Raw genomic sequence first — 14891 nt, 5'->3', positions numbered from 1 at the left:
ATAGAATAAAATAAGTATCAATGAGTCCATACTGATGTAAATAAATAATTGAACAAACAAGGAAATGGGGGAAAGGAGATAATTCTTTCTTAAAGAGGAATTCTGTAATAAATGTAACACATGTTGAAGGAATGAGAAAAATAGAAAAACCATTACAGTAATGGCTGTCGCAGGCAAGAACTACCAATATTTGCTAGAATTAGCAGGCAAAAGTTTGAGGAAAAACAGATATTTGTATAGCCTCAAAGTACTGCCCCTAAAATAGATATTAATTACAAAGGGAAAATAATAACTTTATAGAAAAAACTGGCAGATACCACCTTAGCCAGGTGATCAAGGTTGACATCACTGGTAATAAGACATATTAACATTATGTACCCCTGATATAATAAATCCAGAAGGACATACTCACTTCTGTGGTATTCTGGTCAAAAAATGCATAACTTTAATCAAATCATGAGAACATTACAGACAAATCCAAATTGAAGGACATTCTACAAAATACACGATGGATACTGTTCAAAAGTGTGAAGGTCATGAAAGACAGGGAAATACTGAGGAACTGTCACTGGTCTGAAGAAACCAAAAAGATACAACAACTAAGTAAGTGCAATGTGGGATCCTGCAGTGAATCCTGGAATAGAACAAGGACATTAGTGGAAAAATTGGAGAAATCCAAATAAACTCTGTAGTTTAGTTAATTATACAGTACCAGTGATGACTTCTTAGTTTTGATAACTCTATTATGGTTATACAAGAATTTAACACAGGGAAAGCTCAGGGAAGGGGATATGGGAATTCTCTATTTTTTAAACTTTTCTATTAAGCCTGAAGTTTCAAAATAGAAAGTTTTTAAAAAAAAGTTAATAAGACAGCTGTAATTATATTGTTGTCTTTTTATACGTTTACAAAGGGCCAAATTCACTTGATGCTCTTTCTACCACTACCCTGCTGATGTGGTTTGGCTGTGTCCCCACCCAAGTTTCATGTCGAATTGTAATTCCCAGTGTTGGGGGAGGGATCTGGTGGGAGGTGATTAGATCATGGGGGCAGATTTCCCCCTTGCTGTTCTCATGATAGTGAGTTCTCAAGAGATCTGATTGTTTAAAAGTGTATAGCACTTCCCCCTTCACTCTCTTGCTCTCTTGTTGCCACAAGATGTGGTTGCATCCCTTTCATCTTCTGCCATGATTGTAAATTTCCTGAGGCCTCCCCAGCCATCCTCCTGTACAGTCTGTGGAACTGGAAGTCAATTAAACCTCTTTTCATTATAAACTACCCAGTCTCAGGTAGTTCTTCATAGCAGTGTAAAAATGGAAGAATACAAAAAATTGGTACCAGAGAAGTGGGACATTTCTATAAAGATACCTAAAAAATGTGGAAGCAACTTTGAAACTGGGTAACGGGGAGAAGTTGCAACAGTTTGGAAGGATCAGAAGAAGACAGGAATATGAGGGATGTTTGGAACCTCCTAGAGACTTGTTGAACAGTTTTGACCAAAATGCTGATAGTGATATGGACAATGAAGTCCAGGCTGAGGTGGTCTCAAATGGAGATGAGGAACTTATCAGGAACTGGAGCAAAGGTCACTCTTGCTATGCTTTAGCAGAGACTGGTGGCATTGTGCCCCTGCTTTAGGGATCTGTGTAACTTTGAACTTGGGAGAGATGACTTAGGGTATCCGGCAGAAATTTCTAAGCAGCAAAGTGTTCAAGAGGTGGCCTGGTTGCTTCTAAAAGCCTATGCTCATTTGCATAAGCAGAGATAACTTATATTTAAAAGCAAAGCAGAGTATAAAAGCTTGAAAATTTGCAGCCTGACCATGTGGTAGAAAAGAAAAGCCATTTTCTGGGGAGAAATTCAAGCTCACTGCAGAAGTTTGCACAAGAGGAGCCAAATGTTAATAGCCAAAACAATGGATAAAATGCCTCCAGGGCACTTCAGAGACCTTCGTGGCAGCCCTCCCCAGCCCCACCAAACAGGCCCAGAGGCCTAGGAGGAAAAAAATGGTTTCGTGGGCTAGGCCCTGGGCCCAGCTGCTCTGTGCAGCCTTAGGACATGGCAGCCTAATTCCCAGCTGCCCCAGCTCCAGCTGTGACTAAAAGGGGCCAAGGTACAGCTGAACCATTGCTTCAGAGGGTGCAAGCCCCAAGCCTTGGCAGCTTCCACGTGCTGTTGGGCTTATGGGTGTGCAGAAGGCAAGAGCTGAGGTTTGGGAGCCTCTGCCTCAATTTCAGAGGATGTATGGAAACGCCTGGATGTCCAGGCAGAAGTCTGCTACAGGGGTGAAGCCCTCATGGAGAGCCTCTACTAGGGCAGTGCAGAGGGGAAATGTGGGGTTGGAGACCCTACACAGAGTCCCCACTGGGGCACTGCCTAGTGGAGCTGTGAGAAGAGAGCCATCATCCTCCAGACCCCAGAATGGTAGATCCACTGACAGCTTACACTGTGTACCTGGATATGCTGTAGGCACTCAACACCAGCCTGTGAAAGCAACCATGGGGACTGTACCCTGCAGAGCCACAGGGGCAGAGCTGCCTAAGGCCTTGGGAGCCCACTCCTTGCATCAGAGTGGCCTGGATGTGAGACATGGAGTCAAAGATTATTTTGGAGCTTTAAGATTCAAAGAGTGCCCTGCTGGGTTTCAAACTGGCATGAGGCCTTTAGCTCCTTTGGGCCAGTTTCTCCCACTTGGAATGGGAGCATTTACCCAATGCCTGTACCTCCATTGTATCTTGGAAATGACTAACTTGTTTTTTATTTTACAGGCTCATAGGTGGAAGGAAGTTGCCTTGTCTCAGATCAGACTTTGGAGTTGGACTTTTCAGTTAATGCTGGAATGAGTTAAGACTTTGGGGGACTGTTGAGAAGGCATGATTGTGTTTTGAAATGTGAGAAGAACATGAAATTTGGAAGAGGCCGGGGTGGAATTGACATGGTTTGGCTCTGTGTCTCCACCCGAATCTTATGTTGAATTATAATTCCCAATGTTGGGGGAGGGACCTGGTGGAAGGTGACTGGATCATAGGGACAGATTTTCCCCTTGCTGTTCTGCTGTTCTCATGATAGGGAGTGAGTTCTCACAAGATCTAGTCGTTTAAAAGTGTGTGGCATTTCTCCCTTCACTCTCTTGCTCTCTTGTCGCCATGTGAAGATGTGCTTGCTTCCCCTTCACCTTCTGCCAAGTTTCCTGAGGCCTCTCAGCCATGCCTCCTGTACAGCCTGTGAAACTGTGAGTCAATTAAACCTCTTTTCTTTATAATCTACCCAGTCTCGGGTAGTTCTTTATAGCAATGTGAGAATGGATTAATATACCTGCCACCCTTTTTGCTGGGACCATGCCTCAGAGTTTACAAATCTGCTCCCCATGTACTATCTCCTGGAATCCTCAACAATGCTGTGAGACATTCCCACTTTGAGTTGATAAGATGGGGCTCAGAGAGGCAAGACCTTACGCTTGCCTAAGGTCACCCAGCTGCTCTTTCCTTTCTCCTGCACAGTTACATCAGAAGCCAGTTGGTGACAGAAAAACACGGTCCGCTCAACAAGGATCATACACAAGCCGGTGATACTTTATTATATAAGAGAGTTGTCAAAAGGACAGTTTCATTTCTGTTTCAGAATCCCCACATTCCAGTGATCCATCTGTTGACACAATTAACATAAACTATTTGCTGATATTTACTGAGTGCTTGCAATGTATCAGAGTCATTAAATAAGATGCAACTTCTACTGTGAAAACTGGAATCTTCATTAGGACACAGACTTAGAAAAGGCCCAGTTTCAAGGATTCTGACTTGCACAGACTGAGCACTCCCATTTCCAGAAGTTCGAATACCTCCTTTCTTATCTAAATGAGAGAAAAGGGGGGAAAAAAAGATTAAGATCAAGCCAAAATGGTCTTGGTGAATACATTCAACCATCAGGACTCCCTGATATTTACCCAGCTGTTATGGCCAGAATCAGAGAGTGCAAAAGTCCTAACACACATTTGATTCAGAGTTGAAATTTTTAAAATTATTATTATTATTATTTTGAGACAGAGTCCCATTCTGTTGCCCATGCTGGAGTGCAGTGGCGTGATCTCGGCTAACTGCTATCTCTGCTTCCCAGGTTCAAGTGATTCTCATGCTTCAGCCTTCTGAGTAGCTAGGATTAGAGGTGTGTGCCATGATACCTGGCTAATTTTTGTATTTTTAGTAGAGACAGGGTTTTGCCATGTTGGCCAGTCTGGTCTTGAACTCTTGGCCTCAAGTGATCCACCTGCCTTGGCCTCTCAAAGTGCTGGGATTACTGGTGTGAGTCACTGTGCCTGGCCTATTATTATTATTGTTTTGTAGAGACAGGGTCTTGCTTTGTTGTCCAGGCGGGTCTCGAACTCCTGGCTTCAAGTAATCCTCCCACCTTGGCCTCCCAAAGCACTAGGATTACAGGTGTGCACTGCCATGCCTGGCAGAATTAAAATATTTATATAAATGAAGGAGGAGGTACTATATAAAACATTAGTTTCATTAAAGTGCCCTTTTGTTTGCAGCCATTCAAAATAAAATGCTATACAAAGGTGTTTCAAGGACTCCACAGTGTGCTTTCTGTAAACAAGATTATATACAATAGTTCAGTATAGGATTTTATTGCCTTAGGATAACTGCTGAGAATGACAGCAACAGAATAAAAATAACTATGGGTGACAAGATGTTTTTGGACATTTCTCATTATTAGAATTAGAAACTTAGTAGATTAGTCAAATTTAATATTATAACTGAAATAATCAACTATGGCCTCATGCCTGATATCAAATTTGTTAAACCAGTTTTAAGAAACCAGTCAAGTCAGGGGACAAAATGCACGACTGTGTATGTGTGTGTGCATGTGCGTGTGTGTAACTGAGCAAATTGTTTTTTAACCTGAACTGATGTCTGAAATAACTCACTGATCAATTATAATCAGGTTTGGTCAATCTGGAGATATAGCTTTATGTGATAAATTAATTCATTCAGCATGTTTGGAAGAGTATTTCCAAGCCTCTTTGATAGTTACTGCCATGATTTGTTCTTGGTTAGTGACTGGTAATCATTTTTTTTCCTAACAGCTACTGTGAAGCATCAGGCTAGATTGAAAAATTAGCCCCATAATAGCGTGGTAGGTGGCAAAGTAATTTTTTCACATTATGATGATAATGGATTGTTTTTAAAAATATATAATGAGCTAATACTGTGCCCATAAATGCATTCGGTCATTCAATTCTGATCAACTGAGACATCAAAAAATTTCCCCACCCCATGAACCAAAATATCTTTCTAAATTAAGTAAGTGGGTTCTTGGGAATCCATGTGGAGATGCTGGCAGAGGCAAGTTTGTACCCCTGCTCCCCTAACCCGAGCCAAAAGTGCACATATAAGAATGAAAGATAAAGACGAGTGTGTCTACAAAGAAAGGCACAGGAGAAGTGCAGGTCCTTCAGATCTTCTTGTTTCTCAAAATGGTCCCTAGTGAGGAGAGGCCATTGGTCATTTAAGGAGCAACAGAGCTGATTCCCATGAAACACATGGAAAGGATACAATTATGTGTAAGGGGATGAGGTGGCCTCTATAATTATAGTTAGCTCAGAGTTAAAAAAGATAGAAATCATTTCAAAATCTAACATGTGCTGGCTCCTCATGTCAAAGACTTTATTACTGTGTTTGAACCAAGTTCAAATAGAGAAAAAATGATTAAAGGCAACTGCTGGTTACGTGGTACCTCGGGAATGTCCATCATTCTCCTCAACTTCTGATCTCTCCAGTTCCAGTCAAAAACCAGAAATTTTAAGGGGCTCAAATTAAGGCCACCTGAAAGAGACAGGAAGAGAGTTGCTGTAGTAAAGACCTCATGACATAAGCTTATTAAAATGATTTTTTATTCTCCGGGTTACTTTTTGTCTCATATGTTGTCCTCTCCCCCAGTAACTAATCTCCGCACATTAAGTGCTGCCCTTCCCTGATGGAAAACAAATGCAGCACTCTGAGACTTGCTCTTCTTATCATCTCATCACTCCTCCTGAGGAAAGCAGAGAAACTGCTCTTGCTAAGCTCCTCAAATGCTCACACGCTGGCCAGGCATCCATTTCATGAAGCCCCAGAGGCTATAGTCTCATTCCTGACAGGGATTTGCTAAGTTAAATCCCGCAGTTTGGGGTAGTTGCCTTTCAAAGGAGTTGAGTCCATGGAGTCTGCAGGGCTCTCAGGAGGTGAGTGGGGAGAAAGATGAGGACAGGGTTGGGTGGTTCCTTTTAGGCAGAAAAGGAAGTTGAGATGAATAGGCTCTATTCAGCTATCCTTCGATGAGGTTGGTAAATCACTTAATGACTCCATTCTCTGCTTTCCTGTTTGTCTAGAAGACAATTATGGACTGTGAGGGCTGAAGGGGACCTCAGGGAATGTGTAGTCCTCAGATGTCTCACAGTTGGGCATAGAGTCAGTTCTTGCCTCTGCTCCAAGCTGTTCCACGTCTCTTGTGTTAACAGTACCTGCAGCCTTCCTCTCCTGTGGCACTTCCCCTCAGCTTTTCCCTGTAGTATTTAAATATTTTCCTCTTTGCCCCTAATACTTGTTCATGCTTTTTATAATTCAAATGCCTGTTATTAAAAACTCTCTGCAAAATTAAAATAAAAATAGTGAACTGGAAAAGACAATGAGTTGATCATCAGTCTTCCCTTAATATAACTGCTCTCAGGAAAGCAAATAGGTACAGCCTCTCTGGAATGAAACTGAGCATAATATTATAACAGCTTCAAAATGCTTTTATTTGATCTCAAATTCCTGACCTCAAGTGATCTGCCCATCTCAGCATCCCAAAGTGCCGGGATTATAGGCATGAGCCACGGTGCCCAGCCAAAATGCTTTTATTTGATAAAATAAATTTCCTTCTATGACATATCCCAGTGAAGCATCAGAAACATAAACATAGCTACTTGCAAAAATGATCATTGCCACATTATTTATAATAGCAACAATTTAGAAACAACCCAAAGTCTACCATAATAGAATTGCAAAAAAATAAATTTACAATAGAATATTGTAAATAGTGTAGCTATACAAATGAAAAATTAAACGTGCTTCATGACAAGGAAGGTAAGTCCTCATGAGATATAGCAAGTGAAAAAGGTAGGTTATAAAGTTATGAGATGCAGTATAATCAATCTCTGTTGTATAAAAATAAACATACAAATTGTATAGAAAAAAGACTCAAAGGAAATACATTCATTATTAACAAGAGATTGCTTCTAAAGTGACTTGTTTTCTTCTCTGTACATTTTTGCATTTTCAAAGGCTCCTATAGTCAGAAAATCCCCTTCATTACTAAATTAAAACAACACAATTGCCTGTAATTGTATACATCCCAATGTCATGGGATATCTTTCAATGTCTGAAAACTCTCCTTATATATCAAACGTATAAACATCTTATTAAGTCATAAACAGCTACATATATGCTATTGGTGTCACTCTGTTAGATTTTTCACTTTTAGGGTGCTGGGACTATTCTCTTTAAACACTTTGTATGTAGGCAAATACCTGTGGTTAATGAATATGAAACCATTCATCCAATTAGAATCAGATGTAAAAATTATTTTCATTAATATTTTTTTAAAAATCGCCCTTTAAATGATTTTTCCATATGAAATAAGCCTTCATATTGAGGTCTCACAACTCTGTAGAGATCTGATTTCAATAGTCTGGATAGCTTTGCTTTTTCTCTTCCTCTCTTTCTTTTAAATACAGAGAAGAGTAATCCTGTTGCATGGGGTGGGGGCTGGGGAAGTCTGGTGACACACAAAAAAATCTGGATTCCAGGAGGGGCTGGTGGTGAATCTTTAGCTAAAAGCTGTTAGGGAGGCAGGAACCAACCTGAGAGTCCATCCTTAGCTTCTGATACCCAGCCAATTACTCCCAAATCTGTGTCTCATAGAAGGCCTTGGTGCCTCTCATCTGTTCCTTAACTTTCAAATGCCATAGGATGTCCACAAGACAAAAATCCAAACTCCTCAGCTTACTGTTCAAGGACTTTCCTCAAATTTCTTTCCAGTTACATCAGCTGCTACTAGAGCCCACGAAGTTTCCAAGCAAGAAAGTTGGTCTCTTTAATAAATAACTAATATTTGTTAAGTGTTTAGGGTGTGACACTTACTGTGCTGAGCTCTTTATTGGCATTTTGTTTTTATAACAAACCTCTAAGTAGCTACTATTACTATCCCTGTTGTTCGCACAAAGAAACAGGCTGAGAAGGGTTAAGTAACTTGCCAAGGTCACAGAGCTGGTAAGTTGCTAGACCTGGGATTTGAATCTGGAGGTCTGAGTCCATCACAGGGGCTCTTAACTGCAACATTGTTTTACCTCCTCATCAATTCCTTGTGATATACCATGTGCATGTGCCTGCTTTCTGAGAATCTCACTGGGCTGTTCTCCCATTCATGAATGCTTCCTCTGACCCTCCCGGCCTATTTCAATCCTCCCCACACTTCAAAGATCAGTTAAAGACCCTGCCCTGCAGATTCAGGCCAGCATAACTATCTCTTTCTCATTTCAACTCTTGTAGGACTTAGAAGTGCTCATTTGGCTCTTGGCATTTACTGCCTCATGCTATCGATCTCAGTCTATGTACACTTAGTTCTTCAGCTGGATCAGGAGCTCCTTGAGGGGAAAAGGCTCTAGAACCAGGAGAGCCTAGACTGACAGACCTTGGGGAGGGTGACTTAACCCTCTGAGCTTCAGTTCTCTCTCATAAAAAATAAAAAGGCTAGCCTGTAAGGATGCTGTGAGTGCTAAATGAGGTAACATATGTAAGGGTGTCAAGCGTAGCGCTGCGTACAAGTAGGAACTCGAAAGTGTTGTTTCCCTTCCTTGTCAGGGGCAGCCAAATTTGTTAGTTGTTGGTATTTGTACAAAACTCTGCATATAGTGGGTTCAACTAACCCTGGATGATTTTCATCTGGAGAGAAACAACAGTAGTTTTAGCTTTTGTTGCTCCCTGGCAAATGACCATCTCTATAATGAGTTACTACACTGATGAACACATTACTTTTAGATATATAAAATAATCTGAGAATAGCTCCAGACAGTTATTTAAAAAAAAAGCTCTATTATATAATACATAAGTAATTTGGAAATAAGTATTGAAAAGAAATCATTCAATCTGCCTGGTAGGTAGAAGAGGTAATAAGATAATTGGCAGGTTAGCAGGTTCTTAGGCTACTGGCTTTGAGAAAGTTGGCAAACTATAAAAACCCACCAGTGGATGTTGTCTAGAATACTTTCTGTAAAGCACTAAAAGAGAAACACATTTGGGAAGAACTATTATGGAATGCCTGCATTACATTCATGGAAACTACGTTTTTTGTTTTAGTATGTTTTATATACCAGCCCTCAAAATGGGAGTCTCCCCAAGACTCAGTGGAGTGACAGGGAACTGCTCAACTCAAGCAGTGGCTGCACACTGGTGGAATGAAGGCTATGTGGAACCACTAACCTGCTTATAGCAGCTGGAATTTGACTCTGTTTAGGTGGGCACACGTACTTCAGTTTGCCACAGTCCTTATCATTCCCTATTGTGCTATACTTGCTGGTTGGTTTCAGAGATTAAAGGCTGAGTTTCCAATTCCTGAATTAACACAGAGGTCTGGTTTTTGTATATCCTGAATTTAGTTTCTGAGACTCACATGTAGGTAAGGCAAACTCCCAGCCCTGGGCAAGAGTATCACTGCCCTCTTGTCATACCTTGTTTAACAAGTTCTTTAATTCTCCCCGGAGTTCCTACACCCAGGTGCACCACACGCTTCTCCAGCAACTTTACCTGCGCCTGGACCTGTTCCAAGATGAAAGAGAAGAAAGAAAAGGAAGTCATTAAGAAAGTGCTATCTTACACCAATTTAGAACATTTTATCTCAAAGTTAAGAAAGTGAAATACAAATGGAGCTACCCTTGTGTAGGGTCGACTTCCAGGGCAGAGATGAGCATATCCCTAGAAAACTGGTAATCTTCAAGGAATCAAAGGGTCAAGCCTCAGGTTCTATACAGGGACAGAGCATGGCAGTAGCGACTGCCATACTGGGGAGGTAGGTATGCAGAAGCATAGAATTTAAAAAACCAGAAAAGTTGTTAAATGTTACATAAGGAAGGAACTCAATAAAATATGTGCTAAGGAGATTAGGAGAAGAGGTTGAAAGGAAAAAAGCTGAGGTCTGGGAGAGGCCTTTAGGGATCACACAGGCCCTTGCTTACCTTTATGTGCTTTGCAAATAATTTTATAACTTTGCCGTCTCCTCTGAATGCTGTCATCGACCTAATGAAAAGAAGCAGGTGAATGCTTAAGAAAACCAACTCATTCTAGGCCACGATGACTACTTAAGTATTATGTCTTGCTTTATTCAAAGGATGTGTGCATACGTGTGTATATATGTGCATATGTACATACAAATTCTGAGATTTGCAGGTTAGCCAATCTTTGCAATGAGAGTGGGGTGGCCTTTTATTCAGGCACATATCTGGGTTGGCTTTACACTGCCATACACAAGGTCAACCTTACTTAGGCTTCCTTGATTACTGAAACACATGACCTGCCTTTCATTTGTAATACAGAATTCCTGTATTTCAGGTCCCTGGCAGAAAATTCATCTTCCAACTATGCAGTGCAGTTCTCATACAAAATTTGGTTGCAAAAGATATCTTGGAGCGGTGATGTCAGCTCGTTCTCTGTGGAGCCAAGGGCATCTACAAAGGTCTGCCTGTGGTGGCCATGAGGGAAGCCAGGAGATGAGCTTGAAAGGGGGAAGAGGGGGGGCTTCTATCCTTCTATCACAGCTGTCCTTTCTTATCTACTTTGTAGACTAAATTCCTCTATAAAATTTTATAGGTGGAAATGAAGCTTCAGCCAAAAAGCAGGAAAAGAAGGAAGGAAGGAAGGGAAAGAGGAAGCAAAGAAGGAAGGAAAAAAAGTAAGAAGAAACCACTGACACAAAGGACTGGCTGAATTAAAGCTATGAGGGCAGGGGGTTATTGTAAATGAGGTGATCTGGGAAGCAGGGGTGAAGACTGAGGGGCACTTGAGAGTGATGCCCCCCGTAAAGGGGTCAACTAGTGCTCAGCTTTGCCAGTTATGATGATGTGAGACTATGGGCCTAAGACTCTCTGATTTTTAGAGAAGCCAGAAATCTAGATTTTTATATGTGCAATCTGATTTTAAATATGGGCAAGTCACTCACAAATTTTTTAGGTGCCAAACACTTGTAGGGTAAACTTAGCCTTTGAGTTGTCACTTTACAGTCTCTGGCTTACACCAGTAGGACAGGCAGTCCATTTAGTTTCTAGGTAGTCAAGAAGCTAGATCTATCTACAACAATCCAGACCACCAGCTCTGAGGGCTGAGACGGCGCTGGTGCACCTGCCGTGCCTGCCTTTCTACCTCTACTTTGGCATCAGGTCCTCAGCTGGCACCAACAGCTGCTCTATAAACAGCCACATAACATTATCTGTCCAGGGTTTTTGTTGTACAGATGATACTGAGAATGCTGCTGTCACTATGTCACAGAGGGGAAAACTATTTCTCAGGGAACTCTTTTTTTTTCTTCTTAAACCCACAGAATGTCATCAATCTGGCAACTGATAATGTTTCCCAACAGATCCTGGCTGTTGGAAAGTGCAGGCCCCCAGTTGGGGCCACCTTTGCAACTGCACAGGGATTTATCGATGTGATTTTCAGCACCATTTCTAGCTCGCTTCACCTAATTTTCTGTTCTTTATTTTTTCCTTGCTTCTATTTTCACAACCTGTTTCTCATTTGTTCAATGTATTTCTATATATCATCTATATTTGAGGACAGACCTAACATGGGTTTTCTACTTTCCTTCATATATCATTATTATATTTTGAGAAATATTGACCTGTAAAAACATATGAGTTTGCAAAATAGTGAATCATGCTATACAAGTTCTGTTGCCTCAAGTTTTTACTTACACATAAGCTTTCTCCATGGCAAGGTTAACCAGGAAGACAATTTAAAATAAGTCATGGCTCTCAATAGAACAGATGTTCTTATAAAAGTTAGAATTATTAAATATTAGTCTTTATGAATAGGGCTTGTTGTGCCTACTCAGAAATCACCTTTTGTAAATCACCTAACCTTGAAATGGATCATAGTATTACTGGGGACACAAAAAAATACTGCAAATTGGTAAATGAAGTGTGACAACACAGTACTTTTATGCCCTCAGTAAGGAATTTATGTATAACAAAAGTTCAAATCAATTTGATAGCTTTATTTTAAGAGTCCACCTCCAGGCCACACTCTTTGCCCTTAGCATCTGAATGTGAAATGAGGTAGTTTTTAAAGCACTGAAAAGTCAGTGTGAATTCCCATGATTTCAGGACCGGCAAGTACAGCTGCCCGGAAGCAGTTGGAATCTTCAAGATAATTATGTTTAGAGCAGAAAAAATGGAAAGAAACACAAGTGTTTCACTGGGAGATTATATGCTACAATTTAATGTGTGTGCATAATGTGATACAATTTAATGTGTGTCTCCACTTCAGTGGAGAAAGGAGGGTTTGAAGGACTATTTCAGTTTAACAACTACTTTTCTAAATTCATGATTAGATTAGTTCATTTAGAAAAAACAGATGTAAATAACTATTGAATATCTAGATTTGCACCTTAGTCTATTTGACCAAGTTCCTCTTTCTTCAGGACTTGGATTTTCCTTTGTTTTGTCTCCTGTCAAAGCCTGGCCCAGAGCCAGGCTCTCAGAGAGAGCTGGTCCTAGCAAATCCCATCTGACTCTCACGGCTCTTCTCTGAAAGCTGAATATTACCACTGACCAGTGGAAGCCTTTTTGTTTATTCTACAAAAACAATAGTAAATGAAAACGTATGTGCAAGCCCTTAGTAAAGCACTGACAAATTATCTTTAAAACATAATCTTTACCTTTAAGTTTTTATTCCATTTGGAATTTATCTTGTTATAAGTGAGATATGAATCCAACTTTATTTTTCCAGATGGCTACTCAGTTGTTCCAACACCACTTATTAAACAATCCGTCTTTCCCTACTGATTTCTGATTTGTCACCTTAGGCATATGCTACATTTTCATATGCATTTGGGTCTGATCCTGAACTTTCAATTCTGTTCCACTCATCTGATCTGTCATGCATGTGCCAGTTCCATACTGTTAATTATTTTATTGAGACTTCAGAGTGCGTGTGTGTGTGTGTGTATATATATGTGTATATATATATGTGTGTGTGTGTATATATATATATATATAATTTGTAATCTCTAGGAATATAATCCTCTCATTAGTATTCTTTTTCAGAATTTCTTTGCCTATTTTTAGTTGTATATTATCCCATAAGAATTCAGAACTAGTTTATCCAGTTAAAAAAAAAAACAACACAATTCTATTGGAGTTTTACTAGGAATGTGTGAAATCTGAAGGCTACCCTGAGTAAAACAGACATCCTTACAATATTGAGTTTTCCTGTTCAAGAATATGGTATACATTTTTGATTGTCCAAGTTTTCTGCATCCCTTAGATGATGTTGTCTGTACATAAGTTTTGGTAAGTATATTCCATGGTATTCTATCTTTTCTTTTTATAATGGAGATGGGGTCTTATTATGTTGCCCAGGCTGGTCTCAAGCTCCAGGGCTCAAGAGTTCTCCCACCTCAGCCTCCCAAAGTGATAGGATTATAGGCACAATCTGCTGTGCCCGGCTTCTGTCTTTTCTTGTTACTATTTTAAGTCAGATCTTTTCTTCTAACTGGTTGTTTGGGGTATGATCTGGCTTTTACCCTTGCTCTCTATAATGTGTGCTCTCCACACAGCAGCCAAAGTGAACCTTTAAAATGATGATTCAGATCAAGTAAGTCCTCAAAATCCTATAATGGCATCCTATCTTGGGGTCTTTTGTGCTTACTCTCCCCTCTACCTGGAATGCTTTTCTTCCAGATAGCTGCTGGGCTTTCTTCTTCACTTTGTTCAAGTCTCTGATCAAATTGTCATCTCCTTAGAGAAGCTTTCTGTGACCACCCTTTTAAAAGTAGTCCTGATCTACTTATATCCCTTTGCCATGCTTTATTTTTTCCTTACATAACTTATCAATGTACTTGACGTTATAATGTATCTTCATTTGTTTATTATCTGTCTCCCCCACTGAAATATAAATTCCATGAGGGCAGGGACTCTGTTTTGTTTATTGCTACATCTCCAGCACATAGAACATAATAGCTTGGCATATATCAGTTATTCAGAAAACATTTATGATATGGAATAGGTGAACCTTCCAACCTAATGAGCTCCAGGGCTCGGACGGCCGAGCTGCAGATGATCAGCATCAGGACCGATTTCTTCTCACTGTGGTTCTTCCTAAGTTTTACCCACTTAGGACAAACTGGAAAAAAGAACAGAAAACAATTATTTGAAATATGGCAAAACAGGGCACACCTCCCAAGTTGAGCATTTCTTCTTTGTTGAGTATTTAAACAAAACAAAATATAGTAAGCATGGTTCATTATAATTACAATTGTAATTCAATTTTCTGGTTATTGTAAATATTAGATTAAAATAAAGTATCATTAATTTGTAACACAAAACAAACATACCAAGTCCCTAAATGTGACTAATTTTAAAATTAAGTAAAAAAATTTGGAATATTACATTTTTGATATTTTAATTTAGGTTTGATACTTGAAGACAATGTTGATTAAATAGGAAACAAATGCTGATTCAATCATGTTAAATTTTAAAGGGACATTCAACATAAGATATAAAATGGAACAAACATTTAAAAACAGCAAACATTTACTAAATACTGACATGGTGCTAAGCACTTTACATACATTTTCTTTTTAGTTCTCATAATCTA

The 14891-nt window shown here is 39.8% G+C and overlaps 1 protein-coding gene across 2 annotated transcripts in view; it reads right to left on the bottom strand.

Moving 5' to 3' along the window:
* Nucleotides 1–422: 422 nt before the first annotated feature.
* Nucleotides 423–14891, bottom strand: part of CMSS1 (cms1 ribosomal small subunit homolog) — a 363871-nt gene continuing 349402 nt past the window's right edge. For both annotated transcript variants that reach the window (NM_032359.4, NM_001167924.2), the window contains exons 6-10: nucleotides 14315–14417; nucleotides 10256–10316; nucleotides 9752–9839; nucleotides 5740–5828; nucleotides 423–3850 (exon numbers count right to left, since the gene is read on the bottom strand). In NM_032359.4, coding sequence (NP_115735.2) covers nucleotides 3767–3850; nucleotides 5740–5828; nucleotides 9752–9839; nucleotides 10256–10316; nucleotides 14315–14417 — 425 coding nt within the window. In that variant the 3' untranslated portion in view covers nucleotides 423–3766. The remainder of the gene's footprint in view (nucleotides 3851–5739; nucleotides 5829–9751; nucleotides 9840–10255; nucleotides 10317–14314; nucleotides 14418–14891) is intronic.

The sequence above is a fragment of the Homo sapiens genome, chromosome 3 (genome assembly GCF_000001405.40).
Source record: "Homo sapiens chromosome 3, GRCh38.p14 Primary Assembly".
Taxonomy (NCBI): Eukaryota; Metazoa; Chordata; class Mammalia; order Primates; family Hominidae; genus Homo; species Homo sapiens.
The sequence above is the reverse complement of the archived record's forward strand: the minus strand, read 5'-3'. Positions and strand labels throughout refer to the sequence as shown.